Genomic DNA, 21,421 nt, shown 5'->3' on the forward strand with positions numbered 1-21,421 from the left:
AGGATTTGGGTAGGTAAAGGAAAATTACAGTCAAAGGGGGTTTGTTCTCTGGCGGGCAGGAGTGGGGGTCGAAAGGTGCTCAGTGGGGGTGCTTTTTGAGCCAGGATGAGCCAGGAAAAGGACTTTCACAAAGTAATGTCATCACTTAAGGCAAGGACTGGCCATTTACCCTTCTTTTGTGGTGGGATGTCATCAGTTAAGGTGGGGCAGGGCATATTCACTTCTTTTGTGATTCTTCAGTTACTTCAGGCCATCTGGGCATATACGTGCAAGTCACAGGGGATGCGATGGCTTGGCTTGGGCTCAGAGGCTTGACATTCCTGCCTTCTTATATTAATAAGAAAAATAAAATAGTGTTGAAGTGCTGGGGCGGTGAAAATTTTTTGGGGGGTGGTATGGAGAGAGAGTGGGCGATGTTTCTCAGGGCTGCTTCAAGCGGGATTGGGGCGGCGTGGGAACCTAGAGTGGGAGAGATTAAGCTGAAGGGAGGTCTTGTGGTAAGGGGTGATATTGCGGGGATGTTAGAAGAAACATTTGTCGTATAGAATGATTGGTGATGGCCTGGATACAGTTTTGTATGAATTGAAAAACTAAATGGAATAACAGAAGGAGAAAAACAGGTATAAAAGGTCTAAGAATTGGGACGACTCAGGATAGCTGACTAGAGAGTGCCTAAGGAGATTCAGCATAGTCCTGCCAGCAAAGATTATTTATTTACTTCAAGAGTTAAGAGTGGCAGTTTGGGGATAGCACCAGGAGATATCAGCTGTGATGGCTTGGAAAAACAGTGTAAACCGGCAGTGTAAACAAGAGCAGGACATGTATGAGTAGTTGAGAATGGTGAATAGGAGTATGACTAGACAGAAGATAGTAGGGATGACAAGTTTTTTTGGGGGCACAGTCTAAGTTGGTCTGGTGTCTGGAATGAGACTGGGGCCTAACAAAAAGGAGAGTCTATACAGGAGCTTAAATGGGCTGTACCCTGTAGCATTCCGAGGACAGGCCTGAATTCTGAGAAGGAAAAGTGGTAAAAGTATTGTTCAGTCCTTTTTAAGTTGGTGGCTGAGCTTGGTGAGGTGTGTTTTTAAAAGACCTTTAGTCCATTCTACTTTTCTTGAAGATGGAGGACTGTAAGGGATATAAAGGTTTCACTGAATACTAAGAGCCTGAAAAACTGCTTGGCTGATTTGACTAATAAAGGCTCATCTGTTATCAGACTGTATTGAGGTGGGAAGGCTAAACTGAGGAATTATGTCTGACAGAAGGGAAGAAATGACTGCGGTGGCCTTCTCAGACCCTGTAGGAAAGGCCTTTACTTATTCAGTGAAAGTGTCTATTTAGACTAAGAGGTATTTTAGTTTCCAGACTCGGGCATGTTGAGTAAAGCTAATTTGCCAGTCCTGGGTGGGGGCAAATCCTTGAACTTGATGTGTAGGGAAGGGAGGGGGCCTGAATAATCCCTGAGGAGTAGCAGAATAGCAGATGGAACACTGAGAAGTTATTTCCTTGAGGATAGATTTCCATGATGGAAAGGAAATGAGAGGTTCTAAGCGGCAGGCTAGTGGCTTGTACTATAGCATAACCTGCCTTTGCTGGTGTGCAGCGATTAGGCTCGGTGGAACCATCATCAATAAATCAAGCGTGATCAGGGTGAGGAACAGGAAAGAAGGAAATCTGGGGAAATGGGGTGAATGTCAGGTGGATCAGAGAGATACAGTCATGGGGGTCAGGTGTGGTATCAGGAATAATGTGGGAGGCTGGATTGAAGTCTGGGCCAGGAACAACGGTAATTGTGGGAGACTCAACAAAGAGTGAGTACAGCTGAAGGAGCCGGGAAGCAGAAAGTATATGCATCAGGTATGAGGAAGAAAATAGATTTTTGAAGTTATGAGAACTGTAGAGAGTGAGTTGAGCATAGTTTGTGATTTTGAGGGCCTCTAAAAGTATTAAAGCAGCGGCAGCCGCTGCACGCAGACATGAGGGCTAGGCTAAAACAGTAAGGTCAAGTTGGACAGAAAGGCTACAGGGTATGGTCCTGGCTCTTGTGTAAGAATTCTGACCGCACTAACCATGCCTACGAAGGAAAGAAGTTGTTGTTTTGTAGAAGGAGCTTGGATTTGAGAGATCAGTCGGACACGATTGGCAGGGACAGCACGTGTGTTTTTATGAGAATTATGCCGAGATAGGTAACAGATGAGGAAGAAATTTGGGCTTGATTGAAGCAATGGGGGCTGTCTGTGAAGCTTTGCTGCAGTACAGCCTAGGTAATTTGCTGAGCTTGATGAGTGTCGGGGTCAGTCCAAGTGAAAGCGAAGAGAGGCTGGGATGAAGGGTGAAAAGGAATAGTAAAGAAAGCATGTTTGAGATCCAGAACAGAATAATGGGTTGTAGAGGCAGGTATTGAGGATAGGAGAGTATATGGGTTTGGCACCACAGGGTGGATAGGCAAAACAATTTGGTTGATAAGGCGCAGATCCTGAACTAACTTCTAAGGCGTGTCTGGTTTTAGGACAGGTAAAATGGGGGAATTGTAAGGAGAGTTTATAGGCTTTAAAAGGCCATGCTGTAGCAGGCGAGTGATAACAGGCTTCAATCTTTTTAAAGCATGCTGTGGGATGGGATATTGGTGTTGAGTGGGGTAAGGGTGATTAGGTTTCAATGAGATGGTAAGGGGTGCATGATCGGTCACCAAGGAGGGAGTAGAGGTATCTTATACTTGTGGGTTAAGGTAGGGGGATACAAGAGGAGGACGCAAAGAGGCTTTGGATTGGGAAGAAGGGTGGCAATGAGATATAGCTGTAGTCCAGGAATAGTCAGGGAAGCAGATAATTTAGTTAAAGTGTCTCAGCCTAATAAGGGAACTGGGCAGGTGGGGATAACTAAAAAGGAGTGCTTAAAAGAGTATTGTCTAAGCTGGCACCAGAGTTGGGGAGTTTTAAGAGGTTTAGAAGCCTGGCCGTCAACACTCACAACAGTTATGGAGGCAAGGGAAACAGGCCCTTGAAAAGAAGGTAATGTGGAGTGGGTAGCCTCCGTACTGATTAAGAAGGGGATGGGCTTATCTTCCACTGTGAGAGTTACCTGAAGCTCAGCGTCCGTGATGGTCTGGGGGCTTCTGAGGTGATCAGGCAGTGTCAGTCTTCAGCCGCTAAGCCGAGAAGATCTGGGAAGGAGTCAGTCAGAGAGCCTTGGGCGAGAGTTCCAGGGCTCTGGGAGTGGCTGCCAGGTGAGTTGAACAGTCCATTTTCAGTGGGGTCCCACACAGATGGGACGCAGCTTAGGAGGAATCTCAGGCTGCGGGCATTCCCTGGCCCAGTGGCCAGATTTCTGGCACGTGTAGCAAGCTCCTGTGGGAGGAGGTTCTGGAGGAATGCCTGGCCACTGCGGTTCAGGTGTTTGGAAGTTCTTGTGTGCTGGAGATGTGGCTGGGGTTTGTCTCACAGTGGAGGCAAGGAGTTGCAACTTTTTTCTGTTATTGTACACCTTGAAGGTGAGGTTAATTAAATCCTGTTGTGGGGTTTGAGGGCCGGAATTTAATTTTTGGAGTTTTATTTAATGTCGGGAGCAGATTGGGTAATAAAATGTGTTTTGAGAATAAGACGGCCTTTTGACCTTTTAGGGTCTAGGGCTGTAAAGTGTCTCAGGGTTGCTGCCAAACAAGTCATGAACTGGGCTGGATTTTTATATTTGATGAAAAAGAGCCTAAACGCTATCTGGTTTGGGATAAAGAAAAAGGAGCATTAACCTTGACTGTGCCTTTAGCTCTAGCCACCTTTTTAAGAGTAAATTGCTGGGCAGGAGGGGGAGGGCTAGTCATGGAACGAAACTGTAAGCCGGACCAGGTGTGAGAAGGGGCAATGATAAAAAGATTCTAGGGTGGAGGAGCAGAGGCTGAGGAAGAATAGGGACCTAGCTCGGCCTGGCGAGGAGCAGCCTGGGGAGGAAGGGAGAGGTCAGATGGGTCTGTAGAAAAGGAAGATTAGAAAGACTCAGAGACACTTGGGGTTGGTACTGAGGGGACAGGCAGGAGGGAAAGAAGGAAGATTTGGGATGAGTTGCACTGGGCACAGAGACTAGGAAGGCCCTGTTGTGTAAAAGAATGCCTGGATGTCAGGCACCTCAGACCGTTTGCCTATTTTATGACAAGAATTATTTAGATCTTGTAGGATGGAAAAATTCAAAGTGCCATTTTCTGGCTATTTGGAACTACTGTCGAGTTTGTATTGGGGTCAGGCGGCATTGCAGAAGAAAATAAGGCATTTAGGTTTTAGGTCAGGTGTGAGTTGAAGAGGTTATAAGTTTTTGAGAACACAGGCCAAGGGAGTAGAAGGAGGAATGGAGGGTGGAAGGTTGCCCATAGTGAAGGAAGCAAGCCTAGAGAAAAGAGAGAGTAGAGAAACGGAGGGAAGGGGTTTGGGGGTTCTTACCTTCCAAAAAAGTGGGAAAAGGGGTTGGGGCACAGAGATAAGAGGTCGGAGCATGGAAATAAGGGATTGGGGTGCAGAAATGAGGGATTGGGGCACAGAGATATGAGGTTGGGGCACGGAAATAAGGGATTGGGGCACAGAGATATGAGGTTGGGGTGTGGAAATAAGGGATTGGGGCACAGAGATAAGAGGTTGGGGTGTGGAAATAAGGGATTGAGGGTTCTTGCCCCATAGAAAAGTGGGACTTGCCACTAAGGGTGAAGGAGAAGGGGTTGAGGGGTACTTGCCCCTGCCCCAGAAAAGCGGGACTTGCCGCTAAGGGTGAAGGACCAAGGCAGGCATCCCTGCGTGGTCTGACACCCTTGAAACGTGAGTGTATAATCAGAGAGGCATCCCTGCAATCATTAAACACCAAGGGAAGGCTGCCTTCCCAGTCCGTGACTGGCCCCGGAGTTTTGGGTCCCCGGATAAAATGTGTCTCCTTTGTCTCTCCCAGAAAATGAAAGGAATTGAAATTAAGAGAAGGGAGAGATTGAAGAGTGGAAAGGAGAAAGTGGTTGAGGGACAGTGAGAGAGGTTGGAGAAGAGAGTAAGAAGAGGCCGCTTACCTGATTTGAAATTGGTGAGATGTTTCTTGGGCTGGTCGGTCTGAGGACCTGAGGTCCTAGGTGGATCTTTCTCATGGAGCAAAGAACAGGAGGACTGGGGATTGATCTCCCAAGGGAGGTCCCCCGATCCGAGTCACGGCACCAAATTTCATGTGCGTCTGTGTGAAGAGACCACCAAACAGGGTTTGTGTGAGCAACATGGCTGTTTATTTCACCTGGGTGCAGGCGGCTGAGTCCGAAAAGAGAGTCAACAAAGGGAGATAAGGGTGGGGCTGTTTTATAGGATTTGGGTAGGTAAAGGAAAATTACAGTCAAAGGGGGTTTGTTCTCTGGTGGGCAGGAGTGGGGGTCGAAAGTTGCTCAGTGGGGGTGCTTTTTGAGCCAGGAAAAGGACTTTCACAAGGTAATGTCATCACTTAAGGCAAGGACCGGCCATTTACCCTTCTTTTGTGGTGGAATGTCATCAGTTAAGGTGGGGCAGGGCATATTCACTTCTTTTGTGATTCTTCAGTTACTTCAGGCCATCTGTGCATATACGTGCAAGTCACAGGGGATGCGATGGCTTGGCTTGGGCTCAGAGGCCTGACAGAAACTTTATAAAGTTTTTGCAGAAGCAAGACAAAGAAAATAATTTTGATGGGTTAGAAATTAGTTGGTGGTTTCTGATTGGTGCTGTTTCTAGTTTCGATTTACTGATTACACTGGACTCTGGTTGGTTCACATAGGAATTTAGAGTGCCAAAGCCACCTTGGTCTAATGGCCTCCCAATTAGATTCTTTTAACAATTATCATTTTGAAATATTCAACATGAAAAACATTGAAATAGTTATGAAATCCATGCTCATTATCACAATAAATTGTAACATTACACTTGTCAATGAAAAAAAAAGAAACTGTTAGATTTTTAAGTTTCATAAACCAAAAATAAAATTCTAAGGCCCCCAACCTACTGATGGACTCCCCTCTCGGCCACTGGCATTCCAAAGTAAACCTGAAAAACTAGTTCAGACCATGACCGGAAGAGGTAGGTTAGACATGTGTCATTATAACTTCCTCCCTTTGGAATTCAGATGCAATTGACCAGCACTACCATTAAAACAGAGATCTTAACACAGAAACAGACCCTTTGTAACAGTAAGATACCAAATTCAAACCTGATTCTAGTATGGTGATTCATGACAGATAGTAGGTCCTGAAAGAAATTGAAATTATTTTCCCCAAAATATATTTCTTTGACATGTTCTTAAATGGCATGGCCCTGCAAAGCTGTCTCTTGTGTGGAAAATCCACATTCTGTAGAGAATCGTCTTCCCTTTCCATGTCTTTTCCCTGATCCAGGAGAGAATTAATTAAAAGTATGGAACCTTTTTAGGTCTGATAAGAGCTTTGAAGCCTGGTACCTGGGGTCTCCATCTGCATAATAAAAATCTTGGTGTCCACAACTTCTTATCTTAACCCAAACACTCCTTTCTATTGATTCCAGGCTTTAGATAATAACTCTTCCAATCAATTGCTAATCAGAAAATCTTTGAATCTACCTGTGACCTGAAAGCTCCCACTTCAAGTTATCCCATGTTTCTGCAGAGAAACACTGTACACCTCCTTATACATATTGATTGATGTTTGCCTGTAACTTTAATGTATAAAATCAAGCCATAAACCAACTACCTTGGGCACATGTTCTCAGGACCTTCTGGGGCTGTGTTATAGGTCATGGTCATCACATTTGGCTCACAATAAATCTCTGCAAATATTTTACAGTTTGACTCTTTTCGTCAACAATTTTTATCAACTACCTTGTCAGAATGGTTTGTTTTGTTTTGTTTCAGAGACAGGGTCTCTCTCACTCTGTCACCCAAGCTGGAGTACAGGGGCATGATCACAGCTCACCCACTACCTTGGCCTCCCAGGCTCAAGTGATCCTCCTGCCTCAGCCTCACAAGTAGCTGGGACCACAGGCACATGCCACCATGCCTGGCTAGTTTTTTATTTTTATTTTTGTAGAAACGGGGTCTCCCTATGTTGCCCAGGCTGGTCTCATACTCCTTGGCTTAAGTGACCCTTCCAGCCCAGCCTCCCAAAGTGCTGGGATTACAGGCATGAGCCACCATGCCTGGCCATTTTTATATTCATGACAACTATCAAAACTGTAAAGGAAACATCCCTAAGATGTCTTGATCAGAAATTGCATGTTGCAGTTTCAAGCATAGAAACTGATATTAGAAAACTTTACTTGCGGAAACAACCTCAAATTCCTTCTCCTAATTTCTGAAAACACTTTATTAGAAGTATACAAATTTAATATTTAATGTCTTATCTAATACTTTGTTAATCTTATAATTATGGCATATAAAATAAAATACTTTTTTCATCATAAAGATGTCCCCAAATGTCTTCTTGTTTTCTTATCTCTGTGTGCCATAAATTGAACAGTTTTGAATATTGTTTATCCTTTTGATTGCACTGAAGTCTGGTGTTTGGAAAAATAGTTCTTTTACTTACTTCTGTATTTATGTAAAATTTTAAAATAAGCATGTATTACTTTTGTGATTAAAACTTATCATAAATATTTAAAGTAAATTAAAATAAATAGTAAAGTAATATAGCATAATATAATTAGCAATATTTTCTTTAAAAATAAATAATATTTCTAGCTTTCTTTTGATTAGTGAAAAATGAAAAAATGCAAATTTAAAAAAAGAAAAAGTAAATAATACTAGATCACAGGTCACAAAACAGACACTCTGGAATGCTATAGTATAGTAGGTCAAACAATACAACCTTCCTTATTGGCAATTTGACAATATGCATCAAACATCTAAACAATGTTCAAAACCTTCAACCCAACAATCCTTTTTCCAAAATCTAGTCTAAAGGAATTAATTTTAAACAGTTAAATAATTTCACTGGAGAAAAAATTTTTTTTTAAGATTCTTTTTTTTTTCTTTTTTTTCTTTATTATACTTTAAGTTTTAGGGTACATGTGCACATTGTGCAGGTTAGTTACATATGTATATATGTGCCATGTTGGTGCACTGCACCCACTAACTCGTCATCTAGCATTATGTATATCTCCCAATGCTATCCTTCCCCCCTCCCCCCACCCCACAACAGTCCCCAGAGTGTGATGTTCCCCTTCCTGTGTCCATGTGATCTCATTGTTCAATTCCCACCTATGAGTGAGAATATGCAGTGTTTGGTTTTTTGTTCTTGCGATAGTTTACTGAGAGTGATGATTTCCAATTTCATCCATGTCCCTACAAAGGACATGAACTCATCATTTTTTATGGCTGCATAGTATTCCATGGTGTATATGTGCCACATTTTCTTAATCCAGTCTATCATTGTTGGACATTTGGGTTGGTTCCAAGTCTTTGCTATTGTGAATAATGCCGCAATAAACATACATGTGCATGTGTCTTTATAGCAGCATGATTTATAGTCCTTTCGGTATATACCCAGTAATGGGATGGCTGGGTCAAATGGTATTTCTAGTTCTAGATCCCTGAGGAATCACCACACTGACTTCCACAATGGTTGAACTAGTTTACAGTCCCACCAACAGTGTAAAAGTGTTCCTATTTCTCCACATCCTCTCCAGCACCTGTTGTTTCCTGACTTTTTAATGATTGCCATTCTAACTGGTGTGAGATGGTATCTCATTGTGGTTTTGATTTCCATTTCTCTGATGGCCAGTGATGATGAGCATTTTTTCATGTGCTTTTTGGCTGCATAAATGTCTTCTTTTGAGAAGTGTCTGTTCATGTCCTTCACCCACTTTTTGATGGGGTTGTTTGTTTTTTTCTTGTAAATTTGTTTGAGTTCATTGTAGATTCTGGATATTAGCTCTTTGTCAGATGAGTAGGTTGCAAAAATTTTCTCCCGTTTTGTAGGTTGCCTATTCACTCTGATGGTAGTTTCTTTTGCTGTGCAGAAGCTCTTTAGTTTAATTAGACCCCATTTGTCAATTTTGTCTTTTGTTGCCATTGCTTTTGGTGTTTTAGACATGAAGTCCTTGCCCATGCCTATGTCCTGAATGGTATTGCCTAGGTTTTCTTCTAGGGTTTTTATGGTTTTAGGCCTAACATTTAAGTCTTTAATCCATCTTGAATTGATTTTTGTATAAGGTGTAAGGAAGGGATCCAGTTTCAGCTTTTTACATATGGCTAGCCAGTTTTCCCAGCACCATTTATTAAATAGGGAATCCTTTCCCCATTGCTTGTTTTTCTCAGGTTTGTCAAAGATCAGATAGTTGTAGATATGCGGTGTTATTTCCGAGGGCTCTGTTCTGATCTATATCTCTGTTTTGGTACCAGTACCATGCTGTTTTGGTTACTGTAGCCTTGTAGTATAGTTTGAAGTCAGGTAGCGTGATGCCTCCAGCTTTGTTCTTTTGGCTTAGGATTGACTTGGCAAAGTGGGCTCTTTTTTGGTTCCATATGAACTTTAAGGTAGTTTTTTCCAATTCTGTGAAGAAAGTCATTGGTAGCTTGATGGGGATGGCATTGAATCTATAAATTACCTTGGGCAGTAAGGCCATTTTCACGATATTGATTCTTCCTACCCATGAGCATGGAATGTTCTTCCATTTGTTTGTATCCTCTTTTATTTCCTTGAGCAGTGGTTTGTAGTTCTCATTGAAGAGGTCCTTCACATCCCTTGTAAGTTGGATTCCTAGGTATTTTATTCTCTTTGAAGCAATTGTGAATGGGAGTTCACTCATGATTTGCTTCTCTGTTTGTCTGTTGTTGGTGTATAAGAATGCTTGTGATTTTTGTACATTGATTTTTGTATCCTGAAACTTTGCTGAAGTTGCTTATCAGCTTAAGGAGATTTTGGGCTGAGACAATGGGGTTTTTCAGATATACAATCATGTCGTCTGCAAAGAGGGACAGTTTGACTTCCTCCTTTCCTAATTGAATACCCTTTATTTCCTTCTCCTGCCTAATTGCCCTGGCTAGAACTTCCAACACTATGTTGAATAGGAATGGTGAGAGAGGGCATCCCTGTCTTGTGCCAGTTTTCAAAGGGAATGCTTCCAGTTTTTGCCCATTCAGTATGATATTGGCTGTGGGTTTGTCATAGATAGCTCTTATTATTTTGAGATATGTCCCATCAATACCTAATTTATTGAGAGTTTTTAGCATGAAGGGTGGTTGAATTTTGTCAAAGGCCTTTTCTGCATCTATTGAGATAATTATGTGGTTTTTGTCTTTGGGTCTGTTTATATGCTGGATTACATTTATTGATTTGTGTATATTGAACCAGCCTTGCATCCCAGGGATGAAGCCCACTTGATCATGGTGGATAAGCTTTTTGATGTGCTGCTGGATTCATTTTGCCAGTATTTTATTGAGGATTTTTGCATCAATGTTCATCAAGGATATTGGTCTAAAATTCTCTTTTTTGGTTGTATCTCTGCCTGGCTTTGGTATCAGAATGATGCTGGCCTCATAAAATGAGTTAGGGAGAATTCCCCCTTTTTCTATTGATTGGAATAGTTCCAGAAGGAATGGTACCAGTTCCTCCTTGTACCTCTGGGAGAATTTGGCTGTGAATCCATCTGGTCCTGGACTCTTTTTGATTGGTAAGCTATTGATTATTGCCACAATTTCAGCTCCTGTTATTGGTCTATTCAGAGATTCAACTTCTTCCTGGTTTAGTCTTGGGAGAATGTATGTGTTGAGGAATTTATCCATTTCTTCTAGATTTTCTAGTTTTTTTGCATAGAGGTGTTTGTAGTATTCTCTGATGGTAGTTTGTATTTCTGTGGGATCAGTGGTCATATCCCCTTTATCATTTTTTATTGTGTCTATTTGATTCTTCTCTCTTTTTTTCTTTATTAGTCTTGCTAGCGGTCTATCAATTTTGTTGATCCTTTCAAAAAACCAGCTCTTGGATTCATTAATTTTTTGAAGGGTTTTTTGTGTCTCTATTTCCTTCAGTTCTGCTCTGATTTTAGTTATTTCTTGCCTTCTGCTAGCTTTTGAATGTGTTTGCTCTTGCTTTTCTAGTTCTTTTAATTGTGATGTTAGGGTGTCAATTTTGGATCTTTCCTGCTTTCTCTTGTGGGCATTTAGTGCTATAAATTTCCCTCTACACACTGCTTTGAATGTGTCCCAGAGATCCTGGTATGTTGTGTCTTTGTTCTCGTTGGTTTCAAAGAACATCTTTATTTCTGCCTTCATTTCGTTATGTACCAACTAGTCATTCAGGAGCAGGTTGTTCAGTTTCCATGTAGTTGAGCGGTTTTGAGTGAGATTCTTAATTCTGAGTTCTAGTTTGATTGCACTGTGGTCTGAGAGATATTTTGTTATAATTTCTGTTCTTTTACATTTGCTGAGGAGAGTTTTACTTCCATGTATGTGGTCAATTTTGGAATAGGTGTGGTGTGGTGCTGAAAAAAATGTATATTCTGTTGATTTGGGGTGGAGAGTTCTGCAGACATCTATTAGGTCCGCTTGGTGCAGAGCTGAGTTCAATTCCTGTGTATCCTTGTTGACTTTCTGTCTCGTTGATCTAGAAAAATTTTTTAAAATTTTTTTTGCAGGGAAAATGCTGTGCATATAATTAGCAGTGCTTTTTATGACTTGATAAAATTCAAAACACCTTAAACATCCAAAAATAGGGAATGAGCAAATAAATAATTTTCCATGTTCTGATGAAAAACTATGTTTATGAAAATTTTGTGGTAACATAAACAATGTGTAAGTCACTAACTTAAATAAAATACACACTTGAATAATCTTATGATCCAAGTTATATAAAAAGCAAGATTTATCTTCAAGAAAAAAAAACACTTGGAACTCAAATTATGTGCAGCTTTTCATGGTAGAAATTTTTTTTTCTGCTTATTTTCTTTGAGAAGCATGTATTGGAAAAAAGTATTAACTTTTATATTTGAAACAAGCTTGCGTGATTTGCTTTCTGTTTCAAGTTTACTTGGAACATCAGCCACCTCTAAGCATCTTTGGTGAAGGGGGTTATAAAACCTTTAAATCTGTCCATATTATGGGTTGCTATTTGCCTGGATTTTCTGGAAGAAAACTGTAACTCTATTTCACTTCTAGGATATTATTTTTCTTGTCAAACTTTATTCATGACTACCAGTATTACAGCTCCATAATTTCTTTTTCAGATCTAAACAGAAAAAAATATAATTTAAAATTTTCTAACCTTAAGCTTAAATATATTGTGGAGAAAGATGCCAAATTATCCACTACATGTAAGTTTTCTTAAATTTATTTTTTTTTTTTTTTGTAACAATAACAGTCTGGATTGGGTTATGCTGTAACAGAAAACCTAGCAAATACTGGATTAAACAAAGACAAGGTTTATTTCTCTGAAGTAACAGTCAGTAAACAAATAGGCAGGAGAGGAATGATAAGGTCACTACGCAATGCCGTCACAGACCCAGGGGCCCTCTAGCTTTCCACTTGGCCTCTGTAGGGCCTGGCTTTTCTAGTCATGCTTTAACTCTCATTGCAAGATAGCTGCACTATCTCTAGCCTCATGGCTTGTTTCAGGTAGAAGGAAGGAGGAGGTTGAAGAGCAAAAAGTCCTTATTAACTAAGTCACATTTTTAAAGAGTTTTCATAGACACCCTACTCAAGGATGTCCACCTATATATCACTAGTCAGAACTGTGTCACAAACCACCCTTGTTCAAAAGAGAAACTGGGAAATTGGTTATTAACTGGATACATTACTGCCCTTAAGAAACTTGTTTTTTTTTTCTACTTAAAGAACAAAAATGGGGTTTTCTCTATTAAAGAAAAAGGAGAATGGGCATAAACTAGAAAACTAGCAGCAGTAGCAGCCACGGTGACTATAACTAAAAATCACCATGAAGAATAGTATGCAGAAATGATATGATTAGGCTATTATGTGTGAAGCATACTAACAATTTCTATTCATCAGAATAACATAAAAATTTTAAACTATGACTAAATTTACTAGCGATTATTTCTATCTCCTCACATAACATCACAAATGTATAAATTCCCAGCACATACTTGGATTCACACACGCATATACACACACACATACAAATTTAGAATTAGAGTGACCTAATTTCTTATTGTAATTTCATGAACATCTTGCCAATCCAGGCTTTATTTATCACAAAGGCAATGAAAGAGGAAAGCGTCAAATATAGTAACCTTCCAGCATCTAATGACCAGTACACTGTAAATCCTTCAAGAGCAGAGACTATTTCATTAGATTTAGCTCTCTTAAGACATTTTTATAAAGAATTTTTTTTAAGAAAAAAATTGGTTTACAGAATCAATGAACAAAATGAACTAAAGAATGGCTAAAAAGACTTTCTGTATTTAGCTTCCTTTGTTTGTTTCTTTGCTGATTTGTTCGTTTTACATAAGTCTTACTTAATTGGTTCTTTTAAAAGCTATCAGAAGGAAATTTCAGGATATCAAGAGATGGGATCCAATCAAAGGCTTTTGCTGAGGGCTGTTTGGTGCCCAAATGAAAACAGTATTATACAACATTCAGATATCACTGATAGCGACAGGAGGCAGCCAAATGCCTAGGCAGATGGGGTGGGTTCCTGGTGAAACCCCACCTCTAAACAAAAGACAGTTTAAAGCCTGAAAGCCAAACTGCAAGTTAAACTCTGGGACCGGATTGAGAACTTATCTTCCCATTTCACATACTTTCCTCTGATTGTTCCCCGCTCTTCACCTATTTTACATATACCTACCCTTTCCTAATTGGTTTTTCTACACTGTCATGCCCACCTTTGAGTGGTGTCTTCACTTTAACCTTTTTGCATACCTCACAAACCAGCATGTACTTCCCATTTTGAGTCCCTAAAAGGTCCTGGACCCAGCCACCATGGTGGGGCTTTCCTGCCTTCCAGTAGGGGAACCACCCCCCATATCCCCTCTCTGCTGACAGTTGTTCTGTCCTTCAGTAAAATTCTTCTCCACCATCCTTACCCTTCAATGCCCAGCATATCCTCATTCTTCTTGGGTGTGGTACAAAAGCTTGGGAACTGCTGAATGCAGGTACAAGCTATAACAGAGGTGAGCTGGGGCATGCCAGGTGGGCTGTTGCCGGTCAGGGGTCCCCAGCTTCCAAAGTGACTGAGAAGAAAAGTCCTGCATCATTACCCACAAGGTTCCAGCCTTCTTCTCATGAAATTTCTCTCTTTTTTTGAAATTCAAATAGATTTGCAACTTCACCTTTATTTTTGGCAGAAGGAGTAGTGAAGAAAAGAAGGGTTTTCCATCCAATGAATGATTGTTTTGTAGAAGTGTTCTAACCGCTTTATTACCCCACCTCCACCCCCAGAGCAGAAATGAAGGGTGTTGTCAACTCCTTTGATATAGATTTAATGAGAAGAACCCTTTCTATTTATTATAGCAATATTAAAATAGGAAGCAAGAATGAAATGTTATATTTCAATGTTGCAATGTGTCTAATTATTCATCTTTATATATAACTAGAAAGACTATTATGTGATTATTTTATGTTGGAAAGATGCACATAAATATTGATATGACCCAAGGATAATAGAAAATAGGCACAATGAGGTAATCATATTTATGTCCCACAACAAAAAAACACAATCATACATTGTTTGGCCTGTATGAGGTGCATTTTTGCCTTATGAAAGAAATTTGACCAAGTTTCAAAAAATATAGTTTATAAGTGGAAAGGACAGCCGTACTTTAAATGACCTTCAAAAATGATCACATGATGTTCTCTACTCAAAACACTGGAGGAATATATATTCTAAAATAACCAGAAGATATCTAGTTTTGAATTATAGACTCTCTGGGTCCCTGAGTAGAGACATTGTGTTCCTCTCAATAAATAACTGTTCTTTCCTACTTATGTATGGAACAGATTTTCACTACAGAAGCAGAAAATCTCATCTCGTTATTGTAGGCTTCTTGGCATACAACATAGTAGAGGGATAGGATGGGTGCTCAGGTCAGTCTGAAGTTGTTAAAATCATTTAAAAAAGTAACTCAGTAATATCTATGAAAACTTGCAAACTCACATTTGTTTTGACCCTTCAAACCTACTTTGTGAAAGCTATTCTGTAAAAATTAAAGCACCAGAATTTATGAATATATAAAAACTGGTTGTTTTAGTATTATCTATTGTGACAAAAAAATAACCATCAGTAGGGCTACTACTAAACAAATTGTTGAAATTGTGTTATATTCAATATTAAGGAATATTATGCACTGGTGAAAAAACTAAAAACATTAACATATAAAGATGCTCCTGATATACAATCAAACTTGGAGAACACAATAAATTAGTCATACTCATGCCAAAAAATGCAAACTTAATGAATCTAAATTTATTAAATTTAGATTGAATACAGTCATGCAGTGACTAAATCTTACATGGCTTCTCAACACAGTCAGATTGTGTGTAAAACCACTCGCCTTCGCCATAATTTCATCAAAGCCCTCTTCATCTCACTATTTCGCAAACTGTAGATAAGCAGATTCAGCAGTGGTGTCAGAAGTGAGTAAGACAATGACATCACTTTCTTGGTTTCCGGTGAGTAGCCAGATTTGGGTTGTAAATAAGTCATACTGGCTGTGCCATAGAATAGGGTCACAGATGTGAGGTGAGCGGCACAGGTGGAAAAGGCCTTTTGTCTCCCAGTGGTTGATGGCATCTTCAGGATGGCAAACAGAACTCGAATGTAAGACAAGAGTATCAACAAGAAAGGAACCAAAATAATCAAAAAGGTGCCTGTGAATGCATAGATTTCAAACAAAAACGTGTCTGCACATGCAAGTTCTAACACTGCTGGGGTTTCACAAGATATATGGTTAATTTCATTAAGGCCACAAAAGGGAAAACTAGATACCCATGATGTTTGAACAGTACCTAACATAAAACCTAAGGCCCATGAAAATATAATTAATTTCATAAAAACTCCTTTATTCATAATCATTTGGTAGTTGAGAGGATGGCAAATTGCAGCAAATCGGTCATAAGCCATTGCTCCCAGAAGAAAACATTCAGCCCCACCAAAAAGAAGGATGAAATACATCTGTGCAAAACAGCCCCCAAAAGAAATTGTAGTTTTTTCAGTAGAGAGGACCACCAGCATTTCAGGCATAATAACTGCACTGAAACTCAGGTCCACCACAGATAAGTTCAGGAGAAACAGGTACATGGGAACGTGGAGGCTCTGGTCTAGGGAGACGATGACTATAATAATGGCATTTCCTATCAGGGTCACCAGATAAATAACCAGGAAAGCCACAAAGAGCTGCCCCTGGAGCTCAGGATAGTTAGAAAAGCCCAAGAGGATGAATTCAACCACACAGCTTTGATTTTGTCTTTCCATTTTCAGTAATGAAGTCGTGCATTGATTTTATGGACATAGTATATACAGAATAAAGCCACAGTCCATTAGCTAAGAGTTCCAGTCTGCATTCACCCCAGAAATTCTGGCAGAAGATGAGGAGCCTATCCTGACAGAAATTTTCTTTGGCAATTTTAGACAATGACCAAATACTTGGATTATATTCCAAATATAAAAAATAGAAATGAAGAATTCTGGCTCAGAGATCTTGTCAAATAATATCAAAATTTATTTGATATTATTTGAAAATTAAACATAGCCTTAATGGAAATATAAATACTTTATACCTTAGGTTCCAATCCCATAACATTGGTGCAAGTGTTCTTTATTTAACTGAATTTTACATAAATGCAAAACTTAAGACTACAAAAAATAAAATATAAAAAAGCAGATAGATTGAAAAAGATATCTCAACAAATGTGATAATAGCCTAATAATCCAATGTTACAGCATATTTGATATAAACTTATTTAAAATATTAATTAGATTCAAAGTACCTATATATGACTTGGAGAAAGAAAACAACATTCTGTAGAAACATAGAGGGGATTTGAATTTTCAACACAACCATATTAGGTGACCTATAGACTATGTGAATTGGCTTCAAGCTTGCAGATTTCTGCCCATCCTGGATCTGGCCAATTATATTGGGATTTACCTGGATGTGAAGTTTTTGGGGCCAGATCTCCAAGGTCTATCCTTCTGACCATGATGACTTAAGAAAAAAACCATTTGGGGGATCATTGTGTAATTTAAAAGATTTCACTCTCTCTCTCCTTTTCTCTCTTCTCTCTTCCCACTATACTCGTCATCAAAAAATTCATTTAATCATTAATTATTCAACAAGCACTGATTAACCAGCTACCATTTTCTAGGCTCTGCACCCTTAGGAATACACATGAATCCAGAGCTCAACAGAGAGCTAAGCACACTACATAAAATAGCTTCTAACCCCTTAACCAGTATGCTGCATAAACTAGTACCTCCCCGTACCGCATACCCCAGGACTTTCTCTTTCTTTCTCTCTCTCTTTCTATGTGTACATATATATATATATATATATATATATATATATACACACACATGCACACATATATATACACAACTGAGTGATTCAGTTCATTGATTTTATAACATTATATGGCATAGAATATAATATATCCTCTATCCTTTTTTTAAGAAATATGTGTAAAATATATTTTAAATATTTATATAAATATAAACAGATTAATATTTTATATATATTATATATATATAAGCTCTAGTAAGGTATGTGTATGTGTATGTATATATATATATATATATATATATATAAAATCCCTCACTAGAGCTTAGCTCCCAGAGGGCAAAGATTTTGTTTGCTTCTTTGCTCTACACACACTGCCTACACTACAACCCTCCCTGGCTCATAATAGGTTTTAAACCAACATTTTTGAATAAATGAATTTTAAAATAAGAAAAACCTAGACTCTATTTTTAAGGAATAGAGTGCCTAAGAGAAGTCAGCACACAACACAATTGGAAATTAATAACACGTGCTGTAGAAATTTAAGTAAGGGAATGATGACATTTGAAGGGGGTGGAGGATGAACAAACACAATCACAGGATGTCATGAATGGAAGGCCATTAGGTCGGAGGAGGATGGCAGGAGGAGGAAAACTGACTTGCTCAAGTCAGGAGGCACTTGGTGACACCATAAAACTAGAATGGAAGCCTACTGCCTTTTGTGTGATGTTTTGAAAACCAAAAGAAATTCACTGTGAGAGATGAGGAAGCCAGGAAGACAGATGGACACAGCAAGTTGAAGGCATACAGTGCTGTCTTGAGTGCAGACCTGTAGGACATTAGCAGACAGGAGAAGACAAGTTACTTTATTTCTGAATTTGTCCATAGTCATGTATTAAAATCAAATGACTGTATTTAACCACAAAAATTGTACTGTATTTTGGATGTCAAAAAACCTCCTACAATTATTAAAACCAGACTCTGTGAGGCCAAATATTTAAAATGCATTTCTAATGGCAAAAAAAAGAACAACATGTATTCAGTTCCAACTATGTAAAAGTAGATTGGTTTTAAAAATTAGAATATTTACAGAATGTTATACAAAATAGAAAATCTTTATACCTTAGAAGATCTTCATGGTGTCTTGGATAGATCACTGACAAGTAATACTTACGCAGATCACTTCCTCCCCAAGGCTTCAGCCTGCCAATGGAAAGAGGTAAGTGTTGAACTTACTAACCAAGTTCTCTTCTAGTTGCAAACTCCAGAATATGATGATTTATGCATGCAAAGCACTTACACTTCTACTTATTGCCCGAACCTTTCTCTGAAAAGAAAAAGAAATTGACTGGCATCAAACCAAAAAGTCTACTGACTCAATGTTTCAGCTGAGCCTAGTGACTCCTGAGCACTGAGCCATCACTTCAACAACATCTCCAACTATCAAAGAGGACAACTATAAACAGAAGTCCCACCAAAACGCACAGGAGCAGAATATGCACTTTTTTACCTGTTGACTCTGTCTCTTTAATTTTCATACTACTTTATCAGAAGATTCACCTGTAGTCAAAAGCCACCTATTCACAAACACAACTGACTGATTCAGAGCATTGATTCCATAATGTTATATGGCATAGAATTATATGCCCTGGAGAATTCCTCCCTGAAGAACGTGAAATCACTTCATAGAGACCTTCCTGTATTTTTGTGTGATAACTAACGAGGCTTAAACTTGGCCCCTCGGGTGAGAAAGCTCAAGAGCACAAACATGGAGCAGCACTCCTTCTTATGTCTATGGGGAATGAGCACCTCTTCCCACAAGAGACTCAATTCCACCGTGACACCTCCCAGTAGGAGGTGAGAGCAGAGGCTGAATGAACATTGTCAATAGGGAAAGAAGGGAGGGGTGGAGTGAAGGTGTGAGCAAAGGCAGGTGACCTAGGGCTAGAGGATTCACATGGACACAATGCACAGTTTGTGCAATGGAGGGAGACATGGCAGGTAGATTAAAGGTGCTTTGTAGAAAGCCTGGATGCTCCCTCTGACTCAAGAACTTTTTAACATGGAGTCAAAATATCCTGACTGGCTTGTATAACTTTGAGCACATCACTCAACTTTCTGGTTCTATTACTTTCTCTGTAAAATAAAGATAATGATATTAATCTCATAGGATGTATATAGGAATGAGGACTCAGGGTTTAGTTTAAACTGGCTTGAGCAATAAAGGAAGCCATAGGCTCTGTCCCAGGAGACAGAGATGAATGAATCTGCAGGCTTGGCTTTATCCAGAAGGCAGATGATGTGCTCACGCCGAGGCTCCACTTCTCTTCTTCTCATCTATGGTTTTGTGGGGTAGGTTCTATTCTCAAGAAAGCCCTCTTGTCCTTGCAGCAGTAAGGCTGCCAACAACACATAGGGATATTCTCCCTAATCCGTCTCCAGTGGGAAATGTCCCAGTGATGCTGAGGAAAGGGGGTTCTGAAAGAAGCAGTCCAGGGACGCCTCCCATATTAGTCCCCATGGTGGGATTACATGCCCATTCATGAACTAGTCCGGTGCCCCAAAGATGGGAAAAGCTGTCTAATAGGTACTTTTCATAATTCCTACCCCATGACATCCCATGCAGGCTTCTGTTGTACTAATATGCTCTATAACCTGATGTCAGTGACTGTATCACAGGTGATGTACAAATTGTGAGAAGTCATCAAGATGTAGAGTCATGAATTGTACACTTTACATACATTGGATTTCAACAAAGTGTATAAAAAACATTTCAGGCACATATTTAAAAGGGTAAGTGGGGAATAATAGTAATGTTAATCTCCAATTTAAAGCCAATATGTCATGGATATAACAATAATCAAAATGTGGAGATTTTTAACACACTTTCTCAAAGTTTGAGAGAGCAAACAGACAACAAAAAATACAAAATGGAAAGATTTGAATAATAAAATGTTGATTTAACAGGTGGTAATGAGAATAAATAAGATATAGAACACTTTCATCTCATTAACTCTATATTTTTATCCCAAAATATCTATATAATATTTACAAAAATTGAATATGTGTTTTGTCAAAAAGAAAATCTCAATAAATTCCAAAATCCTGGCAATCATATATATACAGCATTCCGTGTAATAAAACTGCAAAAAAAGCCCAAAATAGAAAAGAAAAACTAGTCTTAGAAACAAACTAACAACATACCTTAAAAAACTAGATGTAAAAACTCTTATGCTCATTTTATAAAAATTATATTTATTTATATAAGTGTTTTATGTACATAGGAAGAATCACAAAAAAATAGACATGAAATAATTTACATTGGCTACTTTTAGGAATGATGGAATTGGGGGATGAGAATAGAGGTATTTTTGAGAGACACTTTTGTATTTTTATTTTATAAATCTACTGCTTGAATTTAAAAGAAATAATTTTGTAATAAATAAAAGCAAGGTTTTTAAAAATAGAAAGTGAAGTTCAGCCATGAGGTCTTTGCCCATGCCTGTGTCTTGAATGGTATTGACTAGGTTTTCTTCTAGAGTTTTTATGGTTTTAGATATTACGTTTAAGTCTTTAATCCATCTTGAGTTAATTTTTGTATAAGGTGTAAGGAAGGGGTCCAGTTTCAGTTTTCTGCATATGGCTAGCCAGTTTTCCCAACACCATTTATTAAATAGGGAATCCTTTCCTCATTGCTTGTTTTTGTCAGATTTGTCAAAGGTCAGATGATTATAGATGTGTAGCATTATTTCTGAGGCCTCTGTTCTGTTCCATTGATCTATATATCTGTTTTGGTACCAGTACCATGCTGTTTTGGTTACTGTAGGCTTAGAGTATAGTTTGAAGTCAGGTAGCATGATGCTTCCAGCTTTGATCTTTTTGCTTAGGATTGTCTTGGCTATGCAAGCTCTTTTTTGGTTCCATGTGAAATTTAAAGTAGTTTTTTCTAATTCTGTGAAGAAAGTCAGTGGTAGCTTGATGGGGATAGCATGGAATCTATAAATTACTTTGGGCAGCAT

General features: G+C 39.1%; 1 protein-coding gene across 2 annotated transcripts, besides 1 other annotated feature; it reads right to left on the reverse strand.

Moving 5' to 3' along the window:
* Positions 14-514: an enhancer, noted in NCBI's record as "NANOG-H3K27ac hESC enhancer chr11:7933845-7934345 (GRCh37/hg19 assembly coordinates)". NCBI's record gives its function as "activates a minimal SCP1, AML or CMV promoter by ChIP-STARR-seq in primed H9 embryonic stem cells {active_cell/tissue: H9 hESC(primed)}" and the evidence as "EXISTENCE:reporter gene assay evidence [ECO:0000049][PMID:30033119]".
* On the reverse strand, positions 12,308-18,984 carry OR10A6 (olfactory receptor family 10 subfamily A member 6 (gene/pseudogene)). Of its 2 annotated transcripts, none has more exons than NM_001004461.2 (4): positions 18,913-18,984; positions 18,703-18,729; positions 18,577-18,605; positions 12,308-18,231 (listed from the first exon to the last, which is right to left on the reverse strand). In NM_001004461.2, exon 4 carries the CDS (start codon positions 16,376-16,378, stop codon positions 15,434-15,436), a length of 945 nt encoding a protein of 314 aa, NP_001004461.1. In that variant the 5' UTR covers positions 16,379-18,231; positions 18,577-18,605; positions 18,703-18,729; positions 18,913-18,984; the 3' UTR covers positions 12,308-15,433. The 2 variants fall into 2 exon arrangements, with proteins under 2 accessions (NP_001004461.1, NP_001376503.1); NM_001389574.1 differs by having other exon boundaries at positions 18,525-18,605.
* Positions 18,985-21,421: the final 2,437 nt, after the last annotated feature.

This window comes from Homo sapiens, chromosome 11 (genome assembly GCF_000001405.40).
Source record: "Homo sapiens chromosome 11, GRCh38.p14 Primary Assembly".
In the NCBI taxonomy this organism is placed as follows: Eukaryota; Metazoa; Chordata; class Mammalia; order Primates; family Hominidae; genus Homo; species Homo sapiens.

Bases quoted from the DNA above. Each gene is read 5' to 3' on its own strand.
- OR10A6 (NM_001004461.2), bottom strand. From the start codon at position 16,378: ATGGAAAGACAAAATCAAAGCTGTGTGGTTGAATTCATCCTCTTGGGC.